Genomic DNA, 27,647 nt, shown 5'->3' on the forward strand with positions numbered 1-27,647 from the left:
AGCCTCAGTTTCCCCATCTACAAAATCCAACTCCCCACTCAGAGGATAAAGTGGCTCGGCAGCACACAGTAGGGGGCTCCTCCCCATGCTGCCCCACCCTGGCTGACCCACGCTGGGCTCCAGCAGCAGGCAAGAAAGTGGCAAGCTCCAGGTGGGACCAGACAGGCCGAGGTGAAGTGAGGGTTCCTGGCGCTTCCCATGGGGGCAGAGATGAGGACTCACGGGTGTTTTTAAACACCCAGACCTTCTGGAAACCTCCAGTTCTCACTCCCCCTCCTCCTGTACCTGCCCCCGACCCCCTGCGGATAAGCAAGCACGTCCTCACAGGGATAGGAGGGTCTGCCCTCCCATGCCGGAGCACCGCACAGGGTAAACAGTCAGTACCTAATAAATACCCAGTGGGTGAGCAAATGGCAACACGCACACATTCTAGAGTCCAGGCCACAGCCCTGGCGATGCTGGCCCCATCGGACCTGGGAGCTGCTAGGCACGCCAATGTCCCCTCATGTTCACGCAGTGTGAACTGCCAGGTCCTGCCTCCTGGCTTTGCCTGTGCTGTGACCTAACCTGGACGCCACCTCCCAGCCCTCCCTCACTGCCTGGTTATGTGCTATAGCCTTGGAGGGCTGGCTTGGAGGCTGCCTCCACTAGGCAGCTTTCCTGGATTGCCCAGTGGAACACAAGCCCATGGGGGACTCCCTTCCACCGTCGGTTCCTGACCAGCGATGCCACGGGCCCTTGGGGGCCATCTGCTCCCTCCCCGCTGCCTGCCTATCCCAGCAAGGTGCAGACACCAGAACCAGCCTCCCCTCCCCCGCAAAGCCTTCACAGACCTCAGCCTCCCCTCCCCCCAAACCCTCACAGACCTCAGCCTCCCCTCCCCCCAAAACCCTCACAGACCTGCCAGGCCCTGGGGGGAGCCCACGGGGGTAGAAGGGCTGGACGAGAAGTTATTGCTTGAGTGATCCGGGGAGTAGATCTGCGAGGAGGACCAGGAGAGATGGGCGGTCAGGGGCCGGCCTCTCAGGTCACTTGCCTGGCCACCCCCCATGCCCCACGCCTCACCGAGGCCAGTGCTTTGCCGAGGGCATCCCCGGAGCTGCCAGCTGTGGTCCCTCGGGAGCCTGTGGGTGAAGAGAGGTGAGGCCCACGCAGCCCGGCCTGGGTGCTGCCGCCGACGGCAAGCTCTCCTGCGTTCTGCCGTCCTGCACAGACACTGCTGCGCCAGGGAGAGCAGCCTGACTCGGGTCCGGTTTCTGTCTGACCCCCTGAAACCAGCCTCTGCAGGGGTTGAGGCACTGGGGACAGGCCACTGGCAGGGGACCCTGGGTGGGTGAGTCCCCTTCTGGGCCTGGGTGGGTGAGTCCCCCTCTGGGCCTGGATGGGTGAGTCCCTCTCTGGGCCTGGGTAACTGAGTCCCTCTCTGGGCCTGGGTGGGTGAGTCCCTCTCTGGGCCTGGGTGGGTGAGTCCCTCTCTGACCCTGGGTGGGTGAGTCCCTCTCTGACCCTGGGTGGGTGAGTCCCTCTCTGAGCCTCTTTCCCAGCTGTAAGGCGGGAAAGCCGCTCCTCAAAGATCTGTTTCCAGACATCCCAAGCCCAACGCACGTGGCAGGCCCTGCAGACAGCGGACAATGAGAACTGACAACAACCCGCTCTCAGGGCCAGCAGACGCGCCTGCGCCTCCCGTGGAGTCCTCGCCACCCCCCACCCAGACCCTGCCTGGAGCCCAGTGTCCCCTCGGAGAGGCCGCATCCCAGGGAGGGGCCATACCCAGGAGGCTGTCGGCCCCGCTGACAGGCGGCGTGTGGCTGGAGACGCCGCCGTACGTGGCTCCGGGGGCTGAGGAGAAGGAGGATGCAGATGGGAGCCCACCGTTCACCTCTGCTCCATGCAGCTGGTAGCCCTGGGGGGTCAGGCAGGAGGAGGGTGGGTTAGATGGGCACTGCCACCCTCCGCCCACCCCCTGCCCCCTGCCCTGGGTCCTACCATACGCTCGTGCTGGTGCAGGCCACCAAACGTGCTGCTGCTTCCACTGCTGCCCACCGGGCCGCTACCGGGCGGGAGGGGCAGCGGGGATGAGCCCCCACCCAGCATGGGCCCGAAGCCCGCCTGGCCCGGGGGACTCCAGAGCTCGGCTGAGGGGTGCAGGCTGCCATCTGTGGAGGGGAGCTGGTAAGGTGGGGGCCGAGTGGGGAACCCCAGCCCTGCCCTACCGTCCCTGGCGAGCCCCCGCCCTGCCATGTACCTGCCACGTAGAAGGGGGCGGGATAGGTGCTGCTGGGGGTCTTGGCGGACGGGTAGGCGGTGGCATCCCTGCCGTAGTCCTCACCTGAGCTGGGTGGGTACACCTGCGGGCGGGTGGGCGGTGGGGGGTGCAGTCAGGACGGAGGGACCACGATCAGCCCATGCACCTTGCCGGCCTCCTGTCCCCTCCTGGTAGCACATCTACCACCCCGTTTCCCTTCCCTGTAAAGCCACCCCCCTTTAGGTAAATCCCAGCCCCTGGCCAAGTTTGAGGTTCTTATGATGTCCTGGTCTCTCTCTCCTACTCCTTTTCCAGCCCCCACCTCCCGCCTCCCTGAACTTCTGACCTTTGTACTTGAGGACTTGGATCTGGCTCTGCCTACTAAACCTTTTTCCTCCTTAATCCAGAAAACTCCTATCGACCCATCAAAACCCCAGCTCCAACACCCCATCCCATCCTTCTCCCTTGTTCCCCAGCTGGAATCAATCTTCCAGTGCTGAGCTTCCCTTGGTCCCAGAGCAACATTCGTCCTTCACTAAAGTAACAGGAAGAGGGGTCTGTGAGTAGCGCCAGCTCTGACTGGTTGGCACTGCCTGGACTGTGGGGCTGGGGCCTGTTGGTAACGTCTGCTGCTGTGCTGGAGCGGGAAGTATGCTGGGTGGGCCTGATGTTGTAATAAACTGGGGGGCGGTTTCAGGGCAGAGAAAGTGCACCCTGGGGAAGGAGGGGAGTGAGTGATACTGTTGGGAGCAGAGCCTGACCACGCCTTTGGCCTGGGAAGTCAACCTGACTCTAACCCCGAACCCAGGCCTGTGGGGAGCTGGTCGGCTGGAGGGGTGAGGAGATGTATGCCCAGGGCTCTTGGGGCCAGCACAGGCACTGGGCAGAGGGTGGTTGGTGGCTACTGAGCCAGGGAATCGGCAAATTCCCTCTCCCTCCAGCGAGATGAGACCGCAGGAGTGTGGCACAGCAGCCTGGACCATCTGCGAGGCCTGGTAGGGAGGCAGGGATGCGGGGCAGCCTGAAGCTGTGAGGATGTAACAGGGAGCCCCAATTGCGGCACCCCCCGCTTTTTTTTTTTTTTTTTTTGAGACAGAGTCTCACTCTGTTGCTCAGGCTGGAGGGCAGCGGCATGATCTTGGCTCACTGCAACCTCCGCCTCCTGGGTTCAAACGATTCTTCTGCCTCAGCCTCCCAAGTAGCTGGGATTACAGGCACGCACCACCACGCCCGGCTGATTTTTGTATTTTTAGTAGAGATGGGGTTTCACCATGTTGACTAGGCTGATCTAGAACTCCTGACCTCAGGTGATCCACCCACCTCGGCCTCCCAAAGCGCTGGGATGACAGGCATGAGCCACCACACCCAGCACAATTGTGCCCTTTCTAAAGGGGCCTCAGCCACCAGGACTGCCTTTCTCTCAAAACAAGACAGACAGAGGCTGGACCTAGGGAAGGACTTCCCCGCCTTCCCTTGGAGGCGGCCTCGGGTCAGAGCTCAGATCTTGGCTCAGAAATCACAGGGGGCCTGTCCACTCAGGGCCCACCCCGCCATGTGTGTTCCCAAGCTTCGCCAGGACACAGGGCCTGGCACTGCCACTGACGAGCTGTGGGGTCCCTTCTCCCTCGTGCGACTCACCGAGGATGGAAGACCCGGCGGGACCTTCCGGACCTTCTTGGGCTGCGTGTCTGTTAGAAGCAAAAGGGGTGAGAACCGGCCACCGGCCATGAGAACAACCCCTGCCCTACACCCTGGAGGAGAGACCCTCACAATTCCCGTTTCATATATTAAAAACCTCGGGTCGGCTGGGTGCGGTGCCTCATGCCTGTAATACCAGGACTTTGGGAGGCCAAGGCAGGCAGATCACGAGGTCAAGAGATCAAGACCATCCTGGCCAACACAGTGAAACCCCGTCTCTACTGAAAATACAAAAAGTAGCCGGGCGTGGTGGCGGGTGCCTATAATTCCAGCTACTCGGGAGGCCGAGGCAGGAGAATCACTTGAACCCGGGAGGCAGAGGCTGCAGTGAGCCGAGATCGTGTCACTGCACTCCAGCCTGGGGACAGAGAAAGACTCCGTCTCAAAACACAACAGCAGCAGCAGCAACAACAACAAAAAGCCCCGGGTCTATTTATACGGCTCCAAAGATGTCGAAGAACCACGATGGTTTTCTCCCGCGACGCGCAGTTTGGAAAACGAGGAGTTGGTGGATTCTAAGCCAAGGCTCTGCTGAGAAGCCCCTTGGCCCCACCCTCCTTCCAAGATGGCCCCGACTATCCCACGCAGTCAGGCTTCACCACTAGGGGCTGCTGTTTGCAAACTCGCCTACAGGATAAAATCCGTAACCCGGAAACCAGCACTCAGGCGCCTTCCTGATCACTCACGGACGTGCGCACAGTGGGAAAAGTTCGAGTGGCCCAGGCGCATGTGCCCAGCCAAGGCGGAACAGAGGCCTCCTCCCGCATCATGGGGCTCCTGTCCTTGGTCTATTCAGAGCCACGATCTTTTACGTTTTTGTGCTTTTTGTGGGTGATTTCACGCTTATTTTTTTCAGGCAGGGTCTTGCGCTGTTGCTCAGGCTGGAGTACAATGGTGCGATCGCAGCTCATTGCAGCCTCGAACTCCCAGGGTCAAACCATCCTCCTGCCTCAGCCTCCTGAGTAGCTGGGACCACAGGTGTGTGCCACCATACTTAGCTAATTTTTAAAATTTTTCGCAAAGATGGGATCTCCCTATGTTGCCCAGAATGGTTTGCAACTTTTGGCCTCAAGTGATCCTCCTGTCTCGGCCTCCAGAGAAGCTGGGACCCCAGGTGAGTGCCGCCATGCCTGGCGACTGTGCTGCCTGGAATGGGCCCCGGGTAGTTCAAGGCGCCGTCCAGTGCTCCTGAGCCCGAGGCTGTGACGTGCCTCGCGGGGGATGCCCGCGTGTGCAGCAGGGCTCAGTGCAGAGGAGCCACGATGCAGCCCCATGAGGCATCTGACACAGAAAGCACATGGCAGAGCCCGTGCCCGTCAGCTGCAGGAACCTCGGGACCAGAGGCTCGTAGGAACCTCTCCCTGGACGTGCCACGCCCGCCGGCCCCTGCCTCGACCCCCCGTCACCGTCCATCCCTCCCACGGCCCGAGCGCCCGACGTCCAGCCAGGACCTGGAAGGTGCGGGGTCTGCTCCCTCTGGTGCCCTCAGCTAACGGGAAGCCTCCTACCTCCCTTTGCAGGCTCCCTCCCAGAAGCCCCCGATGCCCCGGCCAGACCCCGCTCACCTAGGCTGCCGTCTGCCGCTCTCCGCCGGGAGCTGCCGGAGTAGGAGGGGTAGTACTGGGAGGTCCCCTTCATGCCCGAAGGGGACAGGGGCCCGGGGCTGTTGAGGGCCAGCTCGCCTGACAGGAAGCCAGCCTGGTGGGGAGCGGATGGTCAGAAAGCGCCCAGCTGGCATCCAGACCCCAGGCTGTTCCATTCAAGAAAAAACTGCAAAGGCCGAAGCCACTCAGACCCGCCCTGCAGTGGGTGATGCCCCTTCTGCCTGTCACGGTGTTTCTCTGTGACACCTGCTGTGTTTTTCTGACTTGAGACTGACCGCATCCCACACTGCTGTTTTCACGAAGAACGAAAGACTGAGAAACAGATACCAGTGTGGCCAACCCAAGGGGCTGCTCCCCCGATTCTGAGACGCAAAGTACAAAGCTGCGTGGCTAAGCGTCTGTGCACCCGGCTGCTTCCTATCTTTTTGGTTTTGTTTTGTAAAGCCCTCGGTTGGATTCTGTACATGTTAGTGTGAAACGGGCTTTCTTCCTGGGGAGCCAGGGCTGCCCTGAGCCGGGTCCCGGAACTGACTCCTGCATTTCATCCGTTCTAAGGCCGGGCACGGTGGCTCACACCTATTATCCCAGTACTTTGGGAGGCTGAGGCGGGCGGATCACCTGAGGTCGGGAGTTCAAGACCAGCCTGACCAACATGGAGAAACTCCGTCTCTACAAAGAATACAAAATTAGCCGGGTATGGTGGCACATGCCTGTAATCCCAGCTACTCAAAAGGCTGAGGCAGGAGAATCGCTTGAACCCAGGAGACAGAGGTTGCGGTGAGCCAAGATTGCGCCATTGAACTCCAGCCTGGGCCATGAGCGAAACTCCGTCTCAAAAAAAAAAAAAAGAATCATCTGTTCTATCATCATCCAGTGGCCCCACGGGGTGGCCCAGCGCCCAGGACAGGGCCTTCTCCCGAGGCCCGGCCTGTCCTGAGCCCGCACCCTGTGTGGCCACCGCGGGGCTCGATGAGTCACCCGGGAGCGCCAGAGAGCAGGGCCCGAGCCCTAGTTCTGCTTCTCGGATGGGGAGCCCGGGCACTTGCGTATTCCTGTCTGTAAAATGGGCACGTAGGCCGCGGCCCCTCGTTGCGGGGACTGATAGGGAAACGCGCATCTGCCCCTGGCGCAGAGCCTGGCACCCGGCTGGCCCCCTCCATCACTATGGCTACTGTTGCTCTGGCTTGGGCACAGTGAGCACACAGACGGCCCCACCTGTGACAAGGCCGAGCCCCACCGAGAGCTAGGAGCTGACGGCGGGGACAGAGATGAAGTCCTGGGGTGAGGGAGGAACCCTGGGGGTGCCCAGCACCGGAGGCTGCATGGGACCCCTGTGGCTGGTCACAGCCCCCAACATCCTCCCCCAGCCTCACAACCAGGGCCAGCGTGGGTGAGGATCTCGGCTGCACAGGGGCCTGTTGTATGGGCTCCCCAGGGGGTCCACACCTGCAAAGCCCTGCTGCATGGCCTGTTTTCCTGCCTGCCACTCAGAGGAGAGGGCAACCGAGCCCCTCCAGCTAAGCATGGCAGCCCTGCAGGCCTTGGCCTCCCTGGTCCTCACCTACCTCCCCTCTGCTCCCGGTCCACACCCACCCAGCCCACCCTGGCCCAAGCCCAGCCTGGTTTCGCTATCAGGAAGCAAACATAACCTAGCTAAGCCAGGAGAGCTTCTGCAGATCAGAGAGGGTGGGTGACAGATTTGTTTAAAATCAAAATACACCCCAGCCCGGCCCGAGCCCCTCACCTGAGTCAGGCCGCCCACGCCTGCGTCTCTCCCGAAGGAGGCATAGGCGCCCCGCTCACCGCTCTTGCCTGCAAGGGGAGAAGGAAGGTTAGTGGGAGGCGACCCCAAGGAACATCCTGAGGGCCCCCGAGTGCCTGCCATGTGCCTACAATAGGCTCTCAGTAAGTGCACACGACTGAGAGCGCCACGGCAGGATGCTGGCAGAGCCTGACCCCAGTGTGCCCATCTCGGGGAGCCCTGGCCCCAGTATGCCCATCTCCCGCAGAGCCCTGCCCTCAGTGTGCCCATCTCCTGCCCAATGACAGGCTTGGGGACAAGAAGGGGTCCCCGATGATTTCGGGGCCAACTCTGAGCATCTGCAGCCCACAGAAGCCCTGCCCAGGGGGTGGGGCGGAAAGGGGACAGCAGAGCTCACGGGGTGAGGTGGGAAGGGGACAGCAGAGCTCACAGGGGGTGAGGCGGGAAGGGGACAGCAGAGCTCACAGGGGGTGAGGCGGGAAGGGGACAGCAGAGCTCACAGGGGGTGAGGCGGGAAGGGGACAGCAGAGCTCACAGGGGGTGAGGCGGGAAGGGGACAGCAGAGCTCACAGGGGATGAGGCGGGAAGGGGACAGCAGAGCTCACGGGGTGAGGCGGGAAGGGGACAGCAGAGCTCACAGGGGGTGAGGCGGGAAGGGGACAGCAGAGCTCACAGGGGGTGAGGCGGGAAGGGGACAGCAGAGCTCACGGGGGTGAGGCGGGAAGGGGACAGCAGAGCTCACAGGGGATGAGGCGGGAAGGGGACAGCAGAACTCACGGGGTGAGGCGGGAAGGGGACAGCAGAGCTCACGGGGTGAGGCGGGAAGGGGACAGCAGAGCTCACAGGGGGTGAGGCGGGAAGGGGACAGCAGAGCTCACGGGGGTGAGGCGGGAAGGGGACAGCAGAGCTCACGGGGTGAGGCGGGAAGGGGACAGCAGAGCTCACAGGGGATGAGGCGGGAAGGGGACAGCAGAGCTCACAGGGGGTGAGGCGGGAAGGGGACAGCAGAACTCACGGGGTGAGGCGGGAAGGGGACAGCAGAGCTCACAGGGGGTGAGGCGGAAAGGGGACAGCAGAGCTCACAGGGGATGAGGCGGGAAGGGGACAGCAGAGCTCACAGGGGGTGAGGCGGGAAGGGGACAGCAGAGCTCACGGGGGTGAGGCGGGAAGGGGACAGCAGAGCTCACGGGGGTGGGGCAGGAAGGGGACAGCAGAGCTCACAGGGGGTGAGGCGGGAAGGGGACAGCAGAACTCACGGGGTGAGGCGGGAAGGGGACAGCAGAGCTCACAGGGGGTGAGGCGGAAAGGGGACAGCAGAGCTCACAGGGGATGAGGCGGGAAGGGGACAGCAGAGCTCACAGGGGGTGAGGCGGGAAGGGGACAGCAGAGCTCACAGGGGATGAGGCGGGAAGGGGACAGCAGAACTCACGGGGTGAGGCGGGAAGGGGACAGCAGAGCTCACGGGGTGAGGCGGGAAGGGGACAGCAGAGCTCACGGGGTGAGGCGGGAAGGGGACAGCAGAACTCACGGGGTGAGGCGGGAAGGGGACAGCAGAGCTCACGGGGTGAGGCGGGAAGGGGACAGCAGAGCTCACAGGGGGTGAGGCGGGAAGGGGACAGCAGAGCTCACGGGGGTGAGGCGGGAAGGGGACAGCAGAGCTCACGGGGTGAGGCGGGAAGGGGACAGCAGAGCTCACGGGGTGAGGCGGGAAGGGGACAGCAGAGCTCACGGGGTGAGGCGGGAAGGGGACAGCAGAGCTCACAGTGGCCCTGCTTCCTGCTGGCCAGGCCCCTGCCCTTCCTGAGCCTCAGTTTCCTCTGTTTCAGGCGTTGAGGGGCTGATGCCCTGGGGTGCTGGGGTCAGAGGCATTTGTCTGTCCCAGGGGACAGGCCTGGGGGCCCTGGCGGGGAGCCCCGGGGCCTGTGCACACCGCATCAGGTTCACCGCACAGGCTCCCCCAAAGTGCCCAGCATTCAGCCTTCAGGCCAGGGTTCATTCGCGAATGAGCACGTGACCTGCACCCCACCAATGAGCACTTCCCTGGGGCGCTCAGTGACAAAGGACAGGTGAGGCCTCGGGGCTACGGAGGGGGTCAGCTGGCCAGGGCGAGCCCCCAGCATGGAAGGCCTGGGCTACGGAGGGGAACAGCTGGCCAAGGCGAGCCCCCAGCATGGAGGGCCTGGGCTACGGAGGAGGACAGCCTGCCGGGGCGAGCCCCCAGTGTGGAGGGCCTGGGGCTGATGCGGTGACACCTGGATCCAGCCTTGCCTGAAGCAGGCACCCCGATTACTCAGGACCTGAGCCACTTAAATCCCCTTCTGGCTGACACTGGGCACGGAATGTGACTGGGGCTGCTGTGAGGGGCTGGGACGCGCGATCGAGTAATGTACATTATTCTCAAAGCAGGAAAAAAATTTCCCGATTTTTGAATTTTAAAAGTTCAACGATTTCCCAACTCCTGGAACAAATGCTGCTGTTTTTTGCCTCCCGTTTCCTCATCTTGGTGACCCGGGGGGACATGGGGAAGATGACAGCCACGACCCACCCCACAGGCCACACCCGGCCACAGCAGTCACTCGCCCGGCTCCTCGGGTGAGAAAACTGAGGCCATAGGAGACTGAGGTTATGGCAAAAGCCCCCCGTGCCTCCCCGGGACCCCCGCCTGCCCTCTCCAAGCTGCCTGGCTATGGCCTGGGCCCCACCCGTGGGGGTGGCAGGTGGGACATGGCTGGGCTCTGGGCATTGCTGGCCGGGCCGTGGGAACTGCCCACGTCAGCCCTGCCCACCCTGGGGCCATCGGGGGTATGAGGAAGAGGCTGGGAGGAAGGAACAGCCAGTGAGGAACCAGGCTCCCAGGTGCAGGGGCCACCCCCGGCAGGGGGGCGGGGCCAGGCCTCACCTACCCCGTAAGGGGAACGGGCAGAAATCGCCCGTGGCACGTGGTGGGCCCTCAGACACACCCGCCAGACCTTCACGCTATTCGCTTCCTACTCAGGACACCAACTGACTCTACTGTACTCCAAGTTCGAGGCCGGGCAAAGCGAGACAGGACCGTCCCTGCCCCGCTGTGGGGCCCAAACAGGCGCTGCCCCTCAGGGTCCAGGGAAAAGGCTGGGTCGGCCAAAGTCCTCCGGGCCTCAGTTTCCCCGCAAGCCAACAATGCCGAGGGGTACACGGTGAGCACCTGGGCCCCGCAGCAGGTCCAGTGCCCCACAGCTCCCGGCTTCTAAGCAGCGCACACCCCCACTGCACCACGAAAAGCCAGCAGAAACACTGCCTCAAACCGTCGGGTTCCAGAGAAGGGAAGGATCCCGCATCCCAGGATGACTGAGGGATGAAACCACAAATTCCACAGCTGAGGCACTGGGGCAGGAGGCTGACCACGACAGCGGGACCCCTGAGGCCCTTACCAGCCCCCCAAGCAGCGGGACCCCCCCAAGACCCCTACCTGAGCCCCCGAACCCTGGGGCACAGGACTTGACACTCCCGCAGGAGGCGGAGCATGTGAAGCTCGGGGCATTTCCTGTGTCACCCGCAGGAGGGACCGCACACGGGACACTGTCCCAGTCGCAGCCCCAGGTGCCTGGAGGAGGGCGTCCCAGTCAGCCCCACCCAGCCGCAGACCCCCGGCCAGGGTGCCCTTCCCAAGCGTCGGTTCGTTCCCCTGCAGCACGGGTGAGCCTGCAGCGGGGCTGGAATATACCCAAGACCAGGCACCAACCCCCACCTGGCATTGGGCAGGGCCTGCAGAGCTGGGTCAGTCCTCACCGCCTCCCTCCAAGAAGGTTCTGGGAGGGTCCCTTTCCCACAGTGGGGAAACTGAGGCTCAGAAGAGGATGGCGCTTGCCCAGGTTCCGTGGTGGGGTGGGACCAGACACCAGGCCTGAGTCTTCATTCTTTTTTTTTTTTTAAGATGGAATCTCGCTCCATCACCCAGGCTGGAGGGCAATGGCGTGATCTCGGCTCACTGCAGCCTCCACCTCCTGGGTTCAAGCAATTCTCCTGCCTCAGCCTCCTGAGTAGTTGGCACTATAAGCATCCAACACCATGACCGGCTAATTTTTGTGTTTTTGGTAGAAGCGGGGTTTCACCATGTTGGCCAGGCTGGTCTCAAACTCCTGACCTCAGGTGATCCACCCACCTCGCTCTCCCAAAGTGCTGGTATTACAGGCGTGAGCCACCGAGCCCAACCTGAGTCACGATTCTCTCGGTTAACAGGAGGGCCCCCCAGGGAAAGAGGGCGGGCGGGCGGTCTGCGGAAGGGCATGGGCTCTGACCACCGCACACTCTGGCCGCCCTCCCGAGTCTCCAGAACTCCTACGCCTCCTTCCCAGCGGGCACAGGCCAGCCCGGCTGACCCCTCCCCGGGAAGCAGGAGGAGCCCTGCAGAAATCCCAGGGAGGAAGTGGGGTCTGGAACGGCCTCCCTGCCTCTACGCTCAGGCGGGGAAGCCTAGTTGCAGAGTGCCGTGCCAGGGAGTCCGGGCCACGTCCCCTGCACCTCCCCGCAGCTGCTCCCAGGACGGGCAGAGGCTTCGGCTGTCCACACCCTCTGGGTGAACGCTGGGGACTTGCCTGGCGCTGTGCGTGCACTGACCATGCCAAGGCCCACGTCTGCACATCTGTGCACAGCAGAGGGACCGCACCAGGCCAGGCACTCACCTCCGAGTCCCGGTCCCAGGAATGTGGATGAAGAGAGGCTGCTGTGCGACTCAGTGAAGTGGGTGCCCTCGCTGAAGGTCTAGGGGAGATGGGGTGGGGATGAGAGGTGCTGGGGCTTCACAGGCCCCCCCTCCACCCCGCATTACAGCTGGAGAGGCAGGACTCAAACCCATGTCCCCCAGTCCAAACCCCTGGAAGGCTGGCCCCTTCTCTCAGCCTCAGTTTCCCCACACCCCTCGCCCCCAACTCTGGGGACAGGAAACTCAGGGTCTCAGGCCTCACGGGGACTCCTACCCGGCTGGGGTCAAAGGAGGAGCTGCTCTGGTCGCCGCTGCCCCAGGAGCCTGAGCTGGGCCGGTCCTCAAGACCTGCAGGCAGGACAGAGAGAGTTATGGGTCACCCTCACGCCTGCCCAGCTCTAAAAGCTTCGGTTCATCATCTCAGGGGCAAACCTCAGTGGACCCGGGGGGCTTGTGGAACCCTTCCTAACCCAGCCTCACCCAGCCCGACTCATGAGGACACCAGTCAGCAGCTAACACCCAGACACCCTGGGACTCGGAGCACTTACAGGTCCATAAACTTAAATTAACTCTTCCGTCGGCTCTCTGCTGGCCAACTCCTACCCACCCACTAAAGCCCCAGCTTTCATACCCTCCTTGGGCAAAGACCTCACTCTCACGCCGAGCCTCCTCCCCATCAGCCCCAAGTCCCTCCCTCTGGCCCAGCCCTGACTATGTGGACTGGGGTCTCTGTGTCAGATGCAGACTCTTCTGACCCTGTGAGAAAGGCTCATGACAGCATGAGGGTGTGGAAGCTAACCCATGAGCTCTGGGGAGGCCCAGGGTCTCCCTGTCCCCACCTGCCAGTGTGGGAAGTGGGGCCGCCCTTTGCTGAAGCAGCAGCAGAGGCTCACCCATCGGGCAGGAGGCTGGCAGCCCGTGAGGGTGGAGCCGAATCTCATCACCCAGGAACAAGCCCAGTGTGGAGACCAGAAGCCTGCGTGGGGCAGGAGTTCCCGGCGCAGCAAGGGACGGGACGAGGACCTTGGTCCCGGGGCGGGGCGGGCGGGGCCCTTATCTCTCAGAACACTCACAGGCAACGCCCAGGACTCCAGAATCTTCTGCCCTGGGCAGGGAGGGCCTGCTTGGATCCTTCCCCCTTCCATCGGGGGCCACAGAGCACACCCGTGGAGAAGCAGGAGCGGGCCCTGGGCCTCCTCAGCTTGGCCACGGAGTTGCTGCCCTGCCTTGGTTTCCCTCTCTATAAATGATTTACAAACAGGCCCTACTTTTGCAGGGCTGGGGGTGTCCATGTCCAACTCCCAAGTCCAGAGGCTTCCCGAGAGCCAGGCCTGGGGGACCCAGCCCAGTGCTGATGTCTGTGACCGGCACCACCTCAGGCTGTTCTGCAGGCTCCCCCGCCCCGCCCCCTGCCCTCCCTGCTCATCCACACCAGAAACTTCTTTCAAATCGCATCCTTCTATTTCGGTGCCTTTGTGTTAATCATTCCCCCCGGGGAGTATTGGTGTTTAATTGCTGTCTGATTTGCATAATTATGCATATTAATCTCCAAGTCTAATGAATATTCATGCGCCTCATTTAGATTTTGTTTTCTAATCAAAAATTTCCAATGTGATTATGAGTGGGGGGCTGGGATGCTGCCTTGGCTGGGTTGGGGGCCAGGCAGGGGGCTCCTGTGGTCTCCAGGAATCCACACGGCATTCGCTGCCAGGTCTGGGCCATCTGCACCCCAAGATCCTGGTCCTGCACGTGGGCCCTGGTGAACAGGGCAGCTGCTGAGGCCAGGGTGGGCTGGCTGTGTAGGGGTGGGCACAGCGCCGGCACCCTCTGGGTCTCAGTTTGCCTCTATACCACCTGCATGTTGTCTGGTCCCCTCCGGCCATAGCCAGTACCCCAGGAGGTGCAGAGACCCCCAACTGAGCAAACGGGAGGCTCCTGGCACCCCAGCCCTCATCCCCTGGAAGGCCTGGTGTGGTGGGGGACCTCCTGGGGCCCCATGCCCAGGGATCGCCCCCGAAGTTCACTCCAACAGGCCTGTGCCAGAGGCACTGCGGCCTCAATCTGCCCTTTGGGGGAACCCTCCCTCACCCAGCCTTGGCCTCCTCCTAGAAATGACAAAAATAAGGACAGCCCCCACATTAATACAGTTATTAAAATCCCCCCCACCGATTAATGATGCATTTTAATAACCCACCATGAATATTCATAATGCATCCATTGCTCCTGTTCTAATTAAAATGTACTAATAGAATAAGACACTGCTGTCAGAGTGTGGTTTTCTGTGATTTCTTTGGTGAAGCACCGCAGAGTTTTACCCGGGAAGGGCACCTTCCTGCCCTGGGCCAGCCTGGCTGCCTCGGGAGAGGCCTGCGAGTGGACGGCGCAGGGGCGCTGGGGAGAGGGCCCCAGGAGCGGCCCACCCCTTGGGCTTCAGTTCCAATTCCAGTCACGGGGTGTGGAAGCCGCCCACCTGCCTGGGCTGCCGTGAGGATAACAATGAAAGATGCTGCTTCAGAGAGGCCATCCGTAGCCAAGGAATGCTCCAGGCTGGTGGTTTCCCAGTCCCGGTCCCTGTTGGGTCCCCTCCTGAGAGGGACCGGGGACTGGTCTTTGCCTGGTGGCTCGTTGGCAAATGGGAGAGGGAGGCTTCAAAAGGCGCTTAGTAAATACCGGGTAGGACTGAGATTGGTCTGCAGCAGGGATCTGCAAACAGTACACAAGGACCAAGTCTGGCCCCTAAGCTGCTTTTTAAATAAAGTTTTATTGGCACACACTATGCCCGTTTGTCCATGTACTATCAACGGCTGCTTTTGCTGCAACAGTAGAGTTGAATCAATTCCAATAGAGACCATCTGTCCTGCACAGCCAACAATATTCACTCCTTGGTCCTTTCCGGAGAAGGCTGGCTGACCTTGATACAGAAAAAGACTGTCCAAGTGCCTTCAGCTGCCTCTGCACAAGAAACCCAATCGACAGACTTCAGTACCAGGAGTGGGGTTACCATGCCGGGCAGGCAAAACTATTGGTGGACACGGGCCCTGAACACAGCCCTGTGTACCGCCCCTGCCAAACCCTCAGGCACACCACCAGGTGGTCTGGCTTCAGATGGGCCTGGGGACTTCATCCTATAGCCCCAGCTCTGCAATGTGCCCCCACTCAGGTGCTCAGGCTAAAGTCCTGGGAGTCCTCCTCACCTTCCCTCCTCCCAAAGAACAGCAGCTTGCCCCATAGCTACAGCAGCGGGTTAAGCCCAGTCCCTGCAGCAGCTTCCTTCCAAGTCTGCTGACATCCTCAGGCAGCCGGATGGAGCCTTTAGAAGCAAAACTTGGCTCTTCTCCCTCCCTCTACCCTCTCTCATGGCTCCCCACCGTCCTCAGGATAAAGACCAAACTCTTTCCTGATCTCACCACTCTCCTCTTCCCCAACACAGGAGGTGACCCCCACCCACACCCCCTGCCTGAGCCCCTTCCCAGCCTGGGACCCCTCTTTGTCTGCAGCACTGCCTGGAACACAGCTGACGCCCCCAAAACACCCACCCTCAACGTCTTCATTTTACTCATAAATAACTGTGCTTCCAAGAACATTTTCCTGGAGGATCAAAATATTCTCCACCTCTGCTGTCCAATACGGGGACCACACTACCAACTGCTGGAAACGTGGCCAGCATTTTTTCAAGCACATTAAAAATTACATTTAAAAATGTGTATATGGCTAATGCCTGCTGTACTGAACAACCCAGTCCCCAAAAGCAAATGAAATAACAGCCACCACCAAATACCACGGTCACGTCTAAAAACCAATTAACACCTCGACAGCTCCTCACGCAGGTTCCGTTTACTCGGGAGTAGGAGCGGGCCACCCGATACAGGGTCACTATGACCCCCCAAGCCCGTGCCTCGCCCCGTCTCTTCTTCCTCCTTATAATTAAAATCGTGAAGGACCCCGATGGCAGCCTGTCCCACCGCCCTGCCTGGGTCTGGCCCCTGCAGCTTGTGATGCTTCTCAGACCCATTCCCAGCCCCTCTGGGGGTCATGACGGGTGAGATCAGACAGAGGTTTGAATCCGGGGGTGGCCTTTCCTTGGGTGGAGCAGTATTTTAAAAAATTTTTTTTTTCTTTTGCTTTGAGACAGGGTCTTGTTGCCCAGGCTGGAGTGCAGTGGTGCGATCTTGGCTCACTGCAACCTCCGCCTCCTGGGTTCAAGTGATTTTCCCGCCTCAGCCTCCCACGTAGCTGGGACTACAGGAGCCTGCCACCACGCACAGCTAATTTTTGTATTTTTAGTAGAGACGGGGTTTCATACATGTTGGCCAGGCTGGTCTTGAATCCCAGACCTCAAGTGATCCGTCTGCCTCAGACTCCCAAAGTGCTGGGATTACAGGCATGAGCCACAACGCCTGGTGAATTTAAAAAAATTTTTTTGTAGAGATGGGGTCTCACTACATTGCCCAGGCTGGTCTCAAACTCCTGGACTCAGGCGCTCCTCCCACCTTGTATTTCCCAAAGCCCTGGGGTCACAGGCGTGCACAGCCTCCATTTTATCTAAATTCAAGCTATGGGAGAAGATGAAAGACCAGGATGCCCTCGGCCCAGCTCGCGCACTGCAGCCGCCCTGGGTTTATCTTCCTGTCGTGTCTTCTTGGTCAGGGCCCGCAGGCTGTGTAGCACATGCTCCCAGCTTCTGAGGAGGATCCCGAGTGGGGGAGAAAATGCTTCTGGGGCACCACAGAGCCCTTCCTTGTTGGGGGGCTGACGAGATCCCGCAAAGCCTCCCACTTCGATCTGCCTCTAATGTCTGGCGATGGGGGGTGGGACAGCAGGGCCCTGTGGCCCGCCCGCGAGCAGACAAACCTGAGGCTGAAGAGAATGTGAGTGGAGACCACACACCACCCTAAGAGTGGGGGTCCCCACAGCACCTAAAGTGGCAGGACGTGCCCTCGGGTAGAGGCACAGTGAGGCTGTGCGGGCAACACAGGCAACCTCCTCCGCCAGAACCGGGGACGCCTCGCAACCTCCTCCACCAGCACGGGGGACAACCTCCTCCGCCAGAACCGGGGACAACTGGCAACCTCCTCCACCAGAAGCGGGGACAACCTCCTCCACCAGAACCAGGGACAAGCTCCTCCCCCAGAACCAGGGGCGCCTCGCAACCTCCTCCACCAGAACCGAGGACGCCTGGCAACCTCCTCCACCAGAACCGAGGACGCCTGGCAACCTCCTCCACCAGAACCGGGGATGCCTGGCAACCTCCTCTACCAGAACCGAGGACAACCTCCTCCACCAGAACCAGGGACAACCTTCTCCCCCAGAAGCAGGGGCGCCTTGCAACCCCGCTCCCCCAAGGCCCTGGGGTTTCCCTGGAGGGCAGAGCTGGCCCCGAGAGTGGGCATCGAGCACAGATGTTAAGTAACAACTCAGAGAAACAGGGCCCCGCTTTGAATTTCAGTGACCACAGAGATAACCGAGACCCCATCCCGCTCTTGCTTCCATGTCTATGGGCATCACCAGTGACACCTGAGTGTGGGGACCGGAGAACCTGCCCCTCAAAACAAGCTCAGAAACCAACCCGGGGCCGGGCACGGTGGCTCACGCCTGTAATCCCAGCACTTTGGGAGGCCAAGGCGGGCGGATCACGAGGTCCAGAAATCAAGACCATGCTGGCCAACAGGGTGAAACCCCCGTCTCTACTAAAAATACAAAAATTAGCTGGGCGTGGTGGTGGGCACCTGTAGTACCAGCTACTCGGGAGGCTGAGGCAGGAGAATGGCGCGAACCCGGGAGGCAGAGCTTGCAGTGAGCCGAGATCGTGCCACTGCACTCCAGCCTGGGCAATAGAGCGAGACTCCACCTCAAAAAAAAAAGAAAAAGAAAAAGAGACACAAGAGGGAACCCAACATGGAACAAAAAGGATGAAGTTCAAGAAGTTCAATGATTTACCCTAAAAAACGAGAAGACTGTCTTAAGCCTGTAAGCCCCATGGATCCTCAAAGAAATGGCAGAGCCTGGGGGTTCTATGGAATGAAGTAGACAGTGAGCACATTTAATTACGAATCAAGAGATTCCTAGAAGCCGTAACAAGACAGGCACACAAGGAAAGCCCTCTGGGGGCACTTTGTGAGTTCTCTCTCATTTCACTGAATCCTTGCAGTGGCTACATTACCCCTACCCTACAGATAAGGAAACTGACGCAAAAGATAGATGCCATTTGCTCAAGCCCTCACAGTAAGTAGCAAAGTCACTATTTAATGATACAAATGTTTCCTAGTAAGATGCAAATACACAATTATGAACAGATACAATGTTTTTTTGTTTTTTTTGTTTGTTTGTTTGAGACTGAGTCTGGCTCTGTCGCCCAGGCTGGACTACAGGCGCCCACCACCGCGCCCGGCTAATTTTTTTGTATTTTTAACAGATACGGCATTTCACCGTGTTAACCAGGATGGTCTCGATCTCCTGACCTCATGATCCGCTGGCCTCGGACAATGTTTTTTAAAAGTAGCAATTTATTGGTAGCAAATACCAGCAGGGAAGAGAAATATACAGGCTCAATTTTCACCTTCTCACAGAAGGGGGCAGATGCGATTTCACTTCGGACGTTGAGAGCGCGAGAAACGGCGTGTTTAAACGTGTTCTTCACAACGCAGAATACTAACCGCTATTCAATCACGGCCTTAAACGTGTTATTCAAAACTAGAAAAGAACCACTGGCAGAGCCGCAAAGCGGTACAGAGCTTCAGAAAACACACACCGGGGGAAGCAATCCGGAGTTGGGAGCACACAGATGGAAAAACAAAATAAGACGATGGAAGGAAAAGCTGAGAACGAAGATGGACGGGTGCTTAACGTCTTTAATCTGAAAACACGGTGCCGACCAAAGACAGTTTTGAAACAAGCGACTCAGGAGATACAACCAGGAGCACAAAGATCTGCCAAGCCACACCAACAAAAAGGAAGGGTTGCAACCTTCATATCGAAGTTTCAATTCAAGGGAGGTTTCTTTTTCTGAGACAGAGTCTCGCTGTGTCGCCCAGGGTGGAGTGCGGTGGCGCGATCTCAGCTCACTGCAACCTCTGCCTCCCAGGTTCAAGTGATTCTCCTGCCTCAGCCTCCCGAGCAGCTGGGATTGCAGGCACCTGCTACCATGCCTGGCTAATTTTTTATATTTTAGTAGAGATGGAGTTTCGCCCTGTGGGCCAGGCTGGTCTTGAACTCCTGACCTCAGAAGATCCACCTGCCTTGGCCTCCCAAAGTGCTGGGATTACAGGCATGAGCCACCACCACCAGCCAAGGAACGGATTTTTTTGTTGTTGACAATGGCTCGACCCACAACGAAATCCCACTGTCTCAGCCCACACAAGCCCACAATCCTGGCATCTAAATACGTCAACAGAGAAACCGACAAACAGAACAGAGGGGGATGGCGCTGCTCTCAGCCTGACATTAAACAGATTAAAAATCTAAATATGGTTCAAAGGCCTCGCAGCTCCACATCCAACTATCCCTCAAGTACTCACAAAGAAGGACAAAAATAATCCATGTTTCAGCCTCGGCAGAGGAGCTCTGCGTCCTCCAAACAGTAGCTACCGTTTAAGCCAAAGCTGAGTTTTGGCACTGGAGATCTAGAAATCAAGAAAGGACCTCCAACTTGGAACTCAGAAACCTCTGAAGCAACCTGACCTGAAGAGGAAATTAGGAAAAAAAAAAAAAAAAAAAAAAAGGAACAAATGTCAGTAATATGAGAAAAACATGCATTATGGAAACCAATGGGATGGGGTTCACGGGGTGGAACCCTCAACACCACACTGATGGAACAGAAGAGGGCAGAAGTCAGCAAAAGGGGCCTGTGATCTGAAAGTCACCAAAAACTTTAGAAAGAGAAGAAATGCCGATAAAGAGGAAAATTGATCAATTGATCAATATCGATTTGCCAATGAAGCAGATTCTCCAGAAGAAAAATCAACGAGAGAGAGAAAATGCACAGGGCAGCCGAGTCAAGAACAAAGAAACCACCTAAAAGTTGGCGCATTGAGGACCGCGGCGCCCTCAGCCTCCCTGCGCAGGTGGAAAGACAGGCGCCTCCAAACGTTATCAAAGAGCCGAACGGGGCCAGGCGCAGAGGGTCAGGCCTGGAATCCCAGCACTTTTGGCACGGGTGGACAGACAGGCGCCTACAAACATTATCAAACAGCCAAATGAGGCCGGGCTCGGTGGCTCATGCCTGTAATCCCAGCACTTTGGGAGGCCGAGGCGGGAGGATCACCAGGTCAGGAGACCGAGACTGTCCTGGCTAACACGGTGAAACCCTGCCTCTACTAAAAATACAAAAAATTAGCGCAATGGTTACTAAACTCTCTAAGTTTCAGCTTCTTTACCAGTAAAATACGGTAATAATTACACCTATTTCGCTAACCTGTTAGAACTGAGAATTCCCAGTGAATAAGCCAAGCTTTGTGTCCAATGCACAGTGCTCAAGAAACACTGATGTAAGCAGTGGCTCACACCTGTAATCCCAGCACTTCGGGAGGCCGAGGCGGGCGGATCACAAGGTCAGGAGATGGAGACCATCCTGGCTAACAAGGTGAAACCCCGTCTCTACTAAAAATACAAAAACTTAGCCGGCACCTGTAGTCCCAGCTACTAGGGAGGCTAGGCAGGAGAATGGCGTGAACCTGGGAGGCGGAGCTTGCAGTGAGCTGAGATCACGCCACTGCACCCCAGCCTGGGTGACAGAGCATGACTCCGTCTCAAAAAAAAAAAAAAAGTGATGTAAATTGTTGTATTACTGATGTTGTTAAAAAGTTAATGAGGCGGCCAGGCGCGGTGGTTCACGCCTGTAATCCCAGCACTTTGGGAGGCCGAGGTGGGTGGATCACTGGAGGTCAGGAGTTTGAGACCAGCCTGGCCAACGTGGCGAAACCATGTCTCTACTAAAACTACAAAAAATTAGCCAGGCATGGTGGCAGGCACCTATATTCCCAGCTACTCAGGAGGCTGAAGCAGGAGAATCGTTTGAACTCAGGAGGCGGAGGCGGAGGCGGAGGTTGCAGTGAGCTGAGATCGTGCCACTGCACTCCAGCCTGGGCAACAAGAGCAAAACTCGGTCTCAAAAAAAAAAAAAAAGTTAATGAGGCAGCAATAAAAAGAAAAAAAAAAGATACAGCCAACAGCTTGGCTGGATCTCCAGGGAATTATGCTAACGTAACAGAATAAAAGCTAATCTCAGAAGGTTGCAAACTATAGGATTCCATTTACACAAAATACTCAAAGTGAAAAATTGGGCTGGGCACAGTGGCTCACACATGTAATCACAGCACTCTGGGAGGCTGAGGTAAGAGGATCACTTGAGCTCATGAATACAAGATCAGCCTGGAGAACACAGCAAGACCCCATCTAGACAATATTTTTTTATTCTTCAGACACGGTCTCCCTCTGTCCCCGAGGCCAGAGTGCAGTGGCGCAATCTCAGCTAACTGCAACCTCCGCCTCCCAGGTTCAAGTGCTTTTCGTGTCTCAGCCTCCCGAGTAGCTGGGATGACAGGCACGCACCACCACGCCCAGCTAATTTTTGTATTTTTAGCAGAGACGGGGTTTCGCCACGTTGACTAGGCTGGTCTTGAACTCCTGGCCTCATGTGATCCACACACCCTGGCTTCCCAAAATGCTGGGATTATAGGTGTGAGCCACCGCACCCAGCTGAAATTTTTCTTTTTTTTTAAACAGAGACAGGGTTTCTCCATGTTGCCCAGGCTGGTCTTGAACTCCTGGGCTCCGGCAATTCTCCCATCTCAACCTCCCAAAGTGCTGGGGATTACCAGTGTGAGCCGCTGACCCAGCCCTCTACAAAATACATATTTTTTTAATTAGGTGGTCGCAGCTGCTCACAAGGCTGAGGTGGGAGGATCAGTTGAGCCCAGAACTTCAAGGCTACAGTCAGTTATGATCACACCACTGCACTCCAGTCTGGACAACAGAGTGAGACCTGGTCCCTAAAAAAAAAAAATCGTACAGATGAAGAACAGATTGGTGATTCCTGGGCTTAAAGAAGGTGCATGTCTCAAAACTGCACAGAACTACACACACACACACACACACACACACACACACACACGCACGCGTACACACACGCACGCAGACACAGACGCAGACACGCACACACGCGCAGACGCACAGACACGCACGCGCAGACGCACACACACGTGCGCACACACGCACGCACACGCACAGACGCGCACACGCACAGACACACACCCGCACGCACACACAGACACACACACGTGCGTGTAAAGCCGGTGGAATCTGATCAGGATCTGTGGACGGCACCAATGTCGGCTTCCTAGGTCTGACGCAGCACCACGGGTGGGCGGGACGGTACCCCTGGGGGTGGCTAGGTGAGAGGAGAACACTCTGCCACTTCCTGTGAATCCCGAAAGACTTCAGAATAAAAAGTGGATCAACTTCAAGGACGAGGGCCCAAGAGAGTAACAGAAAATTCACCAGAGAGCCATTCACAGGGTCAATCCCCTTCCGAGAAGACCACCGCCCTCTATTAAACAAGTGGCAGGTGAAAGGACACGATCTTTGTCACCTATTAAATGAGACAGGCCGTGCTGTCACCACGTTGGCCAGGCTGGTCTCGAACACCTAGTCCCAGGTACTCCTCTTGCCTTGGCCTCCCAAGTGCTGGGATTACAGGCCTGAGCCACCGCGCCCGGTCACAAGGGACGCTTTCAATGTGAAAAAGCATCCAGGGACCCAGCAATTCCACTCCCAGACACGCACCCGGAGGAAATGACCCATGCGCCAGGTTCTCCCGGGGTTTCCTCTTAAAGCAGAACGCGGAGGTGCCGTTCTGTGGATTTTCACTCTGACCGTGTGTCACACTTACAATCGCACGGACAGAGAAAGCGACGGGGAAATGAAAAATAGGAAAGAACTTTCCTTTGGTCCGTCAATAAGCAATTTCCTGGTGTCTCCCGTGGCCTCAGAGCCTGTCTGTCTTGGCAGAAGATAGGCTGTCACTCAGAGACCTGTGCCTGAGGGTTTCCAAAAATGGGAGGCGGTGGGTGGGAGAAGGCGTACGAAAATTATTCCCGTTTTAAATGTCTTCCGATCCAGACAACCAGAAAATCTTGGTTTCCTATTCGTTAATCTCTAATGCCTTTTTTGTTTCGTTTCTGTTTTGAGACAGGGTCTGGCTCTGTCACCCAGGCTGCAGGGCAGTGGCGCAATCTCAGCTCACTGCAACCTCCGCCTCCCAGGCTCCAGCAATCCTCCTGCCTCAGCCTCCCGAGTAGCTGGGACCCCAAGTGTGCGCCACCACGCCCAGCTAATTTTTGTATTTTTAGTAGAGATGAGGTTTTGCTGTGTTACCCAGGCTGGTCTCTAACTCCTGCGCTCAAGCGATCCTTCCGCCTTGGTCCCCCAAAGTGCTGGGATTATAGGCATGAACCACTGTGTCTGGCCCTTTTCTGTTTGTTTGAGTTGGGGTCTCTCAGTCACCCAGGCTGGAGCGCAGTGGCTCAAACATAGCTCACTGCAGCCTTGACCTCCTGGCCTCAAGCGATCCTCCTGCCTTGGCCTCCCAAAGTGCTGGGATTAAAGGTGTGAGCCACCTTGCCCAGTACCTAACTCCTCTCTCGACACCAATTTTTAAATATTTATAAATATCGAAGAACAGGCAGACCCTTCACAGGGGAAAACTTATGTTTAATTAATTTTCAGGGACACCTTTTATTCTCACCTGGGTTTCTGGTTCTCAAATCTAAAGTTTCCTTTCAAATGAACTTAAGAAAAGCGAGGTGACTTAAAAGGGAGCTAGAACAGGGCACATGAAGAAGGGGCCAAGGTGGAGAATGCGGCTGGGGTACCCCATCAGCCATCAGCGTTGGGGACTCCTGGCGAAGGGTGGCGTCCCCGAAGCCAACTAGGCCCCGCCTGGAAGGAAGCTGCACCCACTGTTCCAGGAAGAAGCCGAGGTTTGGGAAGGGATCCCACAGCTCCGGGGCTCCATCCTGCTGATGAGCCCCAAACTCCCCTCTTCCTGGGTCCTCGGAGAGGAGAAGCAGGAAGCGGGGAAATGAGCTACTGCAGCTCCTGGGCCCTGCCGGGATCCCTCCGCCCCTCGCACCCATCGACTCGCTGAACCTGACGATGGAAGAGAGCAGGTGCCCATCTTGCGGGAGCTTCGGGAGGGCCACACCTGGGGCCAGCGCCACAGCCTGCAGGGGCCTGGGGGAGTGGAGGCAATGAGGAGGGTGCCACCAACTCAGGCCTTGGAGCTCTGCATCCTCCACCACCCCCGGGCTCAGGCGGGCGTTAACTGCATGGACTGAACGGGGAGGGGGTCACCCCTCTGTGTCCAGGAGCTGGGGGGTCCCAGGCTGGAGCAGCCACATCACGTCCCTCAAGGGCAAAAAATGCAACATACTGGGCCTCACTGGGCCCTCCAAAGCCTCCGCCCTAACGTGTGAGGGGACAAGGCGAGACCCTCCCAACCTGCAGCATTGGGGCAGGGCCGGAGCACAGGGCGAGACTCTGTGGGAACCACAGAAAATACATCTGCAAACATTGGCAGGTTCCTGCTGGGACCGGGCTGGGCGTCCAGGGAGAGGCAACCCAGAGGGAGCATTCTCAGGTCCACACGGCCTACACACCACAGCTCTGGTTACCCAGGGACCAATCTCACAGTGGTCCGTGCCAGGGCTGAGGGGGTGAGAGGCGACAGGGGACGAGGGAAGACACCTCCCACCCCACCCTCCCCACCAGGCCCTGCTGTAAGCCCACCCAGAGGCCCAGGAGAATGGGGGTGGACGGCCTTGGGAGTTGCGCTTCCTCCTCCAGGAAGCCCCCAGGGCCTGACCCTCTGCCTCACACAGGGAAGCATTAGCATGTCCGGTTCCTGGGGCTGTTTCCGGGGGGCTGGCAGGGTGGCGTTTGGGGATTTCCACGCCTCAGGGAGCATATTCCGGCCAGCCCTGTGGCCACTTCCTCACGTAGAGGGGAAGGCCAGTGTGAGGCAGTGGGGGCAGCAAAGCGATGTCTCTCCATGTGGGGGTGCAAGTGCCCAAGTACAGAACCCCCTTTGCCCACCACTCAAAACCCCGACACTCCAGCCAGGGCCCACCCCTGGGGGATTCTGGAGATAACTGCAGGACGGCGCTTTCCACCCAGATCCCGGAGGCAGGAAGGACACAGCTTCAGAGGCCCCAACCCGAGGCCCCCACTCCCCGGAAAGATGCTGATGTCCACAAAGAGACCCGTGGCTCTGAAGCAGCATCGGGGGCACCCGCCCCAACCTCCCCCACCAAATCCTGTCGACAGCCAGCCTGGGCCGCCCAAATGCACATCAGACTAGACCCTCTCTCCATTCACAACCATCCAGGGCTCCCCGCTGCCCCTGCAACGAACACAGCGCCCCTAGCCCGCCCCGCCGGCCGGTCCCACCGCAGGGCGTCCGTACGGGCTGCTCTCTCTGCCTGGCAAATTCCTCCCCTCATGCTCCCACGGCCCCTTCCTCTCACCCTCAGGGCTCTGCCCCGACACGCCCTCTGCGGAGACCTTCACTAGAGGTCCCGCTTTGGGGCAACCTGGCCCTCGCTGGGTGTGCCGTGAAGCCCTGCCCATGCTCCAGAGTGTGATTTTCAGGCCACCCCCAGGACCCCACGTCTCCCCTATCTGTCCCGCCCACTGCTGTGTCATCAGCGAGGGTGACCCGCTCATCCAGGTCAGCCTGGGATGTTTCTGCTTTGAGCACTCAAAGCCGCGGGTCCCAGGAATTGCCCCTCAGTCCTGGGCAAACCACAATGGCCGGTCACCCTGGTGCTGGGCCCTGCATACAGCAAGCGCCTAATACCTGCTTAAATGAAAGTCGTCGAGGCTCACAAGGTGGGTGGGATCCAGTGAGAGCCGGGATCCCGCACCACGCCCTCTCCAGAGCCTCAGTTTCCCCCTTATGGATTGACTGGAGAAACGGATGCTCGAGATCCCCACCCACACACAGGCCCAGCTCCAACCCTGCGCCTAAAAACAAGCCCCACCCAGCCCCCAGACCCAGGCTCCAGGCGCGGGAGGGACGAGGGGACGAGGGGCTCAGGGGCTCGGGCTCCCAAGGCAGGTCACACGGGCAACGGCAGCTGATTTCAGGGGTCTTCAGGCTCGCTGCCCCCGACCCGGCCTGTGTGGCCCTTTCCCCATTGTCTCCCTCCTTTGCTGCCCCAGCCTCCCTCGCCCGCACACTGTCTTCAACAGACCCTTGATCTCCTCACTCCACGAGCGCTGGCAGGAAGGCGGGGTCCTACCTGAACCTCCGAACTGCGCCCCGGCCAGGGAGGCGGGCCGGCCCTTCCCGTTGGTGACAGGCAGCGGGAACATCTGCAGGGAGGGGAGGGGAGACGTGAGCGGGGCGGGTGGCAAACCAAACCCTACAGTCCCGGGTTCAAACCCAAGCTGGGAGCAGAGCTGGGGACACCCGGGAACCTGAGACTGCGCTCCATCTAGGCCCGGCCCGTCCTGCTCCGCCCCATCACAGACCAGAAGACTCTGAGGACTCGCGTGCCCTCAAGTGACGCTGCACCCTGGACACCCACGCCCAGAGTGAGAAAACTCCAGACGATGACCCCGCTGTACCGCCAGGCAGAGTCCCTGCCGCTGAAAACTCGCTGTTCCCCCTGCCTTTGCTCTGGGGGGAGGGGTATCCCATTAGGCGAAGGATACAACTTATCAGCTCTTGACAGTGATACAAAGTTGTCTTTACGTTTCAGCTCTGAAAAGTGAGAGGTTTACACTCAACAGGTGGACATGTGGAGAGTCCCCGGATGCCTGAGCCCTGGCTGACTCCTCGTTTCCTGTGTGTGCACTGGCCCCGCATGGCAGGCCCTGGAGCAGGGGGTCCCTGGAGCGGGGGGTAGGGCCCAGTGTCCCCCTACCAGGGCTGGGTATGGGTTTGCTTGGCAAAAGGGGAAGCCGAGGCTCAGACAGGCAGCAGGTCGAGGAAGACACGGGATGGAGCCCCGGGCCCGGCAGGAAGCTGGAGGGGCTGGGGAGAGGCTGCACCCCACAGCTGATCCAGCTCCTGGGTGCTAGGGGTGTGGGACTGCCACCCTCCCTCCCGCCCGGCTCACCCGTACCCAGAACACTAAGTCCCTAAAGATTAACGGGCTCAGCGGCATTAACCGGAAAAGCCAACGGCAACAAACCCTTTTGCCACAGAAAAAAACACAACAAGCCTCCGCCCTGCCCCAAGGGGCTGCGTTTTAAGGCTCCCATCGGGGCTTAAGTGATCAAAGTGGCTGGAATCAGAGCCAGGGGCTTTCTGAGGAGCAGCCAAGATCCCCAACACCTTCCCCAGCCAGCCAGGAGGCGAAGGCACAGCGCCTGTGGCCACGATCCACAGGTCCAAAGGGGACCCAGGAAGCGGGGTTGTCCCCCACTCCCTGGTCCTGCAGAAGGGGAAACGGAGGCCGCATTCTCACCTGGCCCTGGAGAGGAAGAACGGTCTTGCGGGTAGGGGTGGCACCCGCGCTGAAGGCAGTGTTCGCCCTGGACCACACCCCCTCCCGCAGGCTCCGGTGCACCCAGCCTCCCCTGGACCCAGACCTCCAAGGGCCAACCTCTCATTTGGGAAACAAAGGCCTGCTGTGGGGGACAGCCAACTGCATT

At 58.9% G+C, this 27,647-nt stretch overlaps 1 protein-coding gene across 50 annotated transcripts in view, besides 2 other annotated features; it reads right to left on the reverse strand.

Annotated features, from left to right (window-relative positions):
• The window catches only part of TCF3 (transcription factor 3), a 43,324-nt gene that overhangs the window by 10,776 nt on the left and 4,901 nt on the right, over positions 1-27,647 (reverse strand). For 36 of the 50 annotated variants that reach the window (XM_047439290.1, XM_047439286.1, XM_011528226.3 and 33 more), the window contains 11 exons: positions 26,288-26,360; positions 12,265-12,338; positions 11,971-12,049; positions 7,292-7,359; positions 5,509-5,641; positions 3,884-3,933; positions 2,246-2,348; positions 1,987-2,156; positions 1,771-1,903; positions 1,066-1,124; positions 901-979 (listed from right to left, as the gene is read on the reverse strand). In XM_047439290.1, the coding sequence (XP_047295246.1) occupies positions 901-979; positions 1,066-1,124; positions 1,771-1,903; positions 1,987-2,156; positions 2,246-2,348; positions 3,884-3,933; positions 5,509-5,641; positions 7,292-7,359; positions 11,971-12,049; positions 12,265-12,338; positions 26,288-26,360 (1,021 nt within the window). Of the gene's footprint in view, positions 1-900; positions 980-1,065; positions 1,125-1,770; positions 1,904-1,986; positions 2,157-2,245; positions 2,349-3,883; positions 3,934-5,508; positions 5,642-7,291; positions 7,360-11,883; positions 12,050-12,264; positions 12,339-26,287; positions 26,361-27,647 lie in introns of all 50 variants that reach the window. The other 14 variants (XM_047439261.1, XM_017027178.2, XM_047439262.1 and 11 more) reach the window with 2 other exon arrangements.
• Positions 6,287-6,788: an enhancer, noted in NCBI's record as "H3K4me1 hESC enhancer chr19:1626353-1626854 (GRCh37/hg19 assembly coordinates)". NCBI's record gives its function as "activates a minimal SCP1, AML or CMV promoter by ChIP-STARR-seq in naive H9 embryonic stem cells {active_cell/tissue: H9 hESC(naive)}" and the evidence as "EXISTENCE:reporter gene assay evidence [ECO:0000049][PMID:30033119]".
• Positions 27,447-27,536: an enhancer, noted in NCBI's record as "active region_13619". NCBI's record gives its function as "activates an Ori minimal core promoter by ATAC-STARR-seq in GM12878 lymphoblastoid cells {active_cell/tissue: GM12878}" and the evidence as "EXISTENCE:reporter gene assay evidence [ECO:0000049][PMID:35858748]".

Source organism: Homo sapiens, chromosome 19, assembly GCF_000001405.40.
Source record: "Homo sapiens chromosome 19, GRCh38.p14 Primary Assembly".
Lineage (NCBI taxonomy): Eukaryota > Metazoa > Chordata > Mammalia > Primates > Hominidae > Homo > Homo sapiens.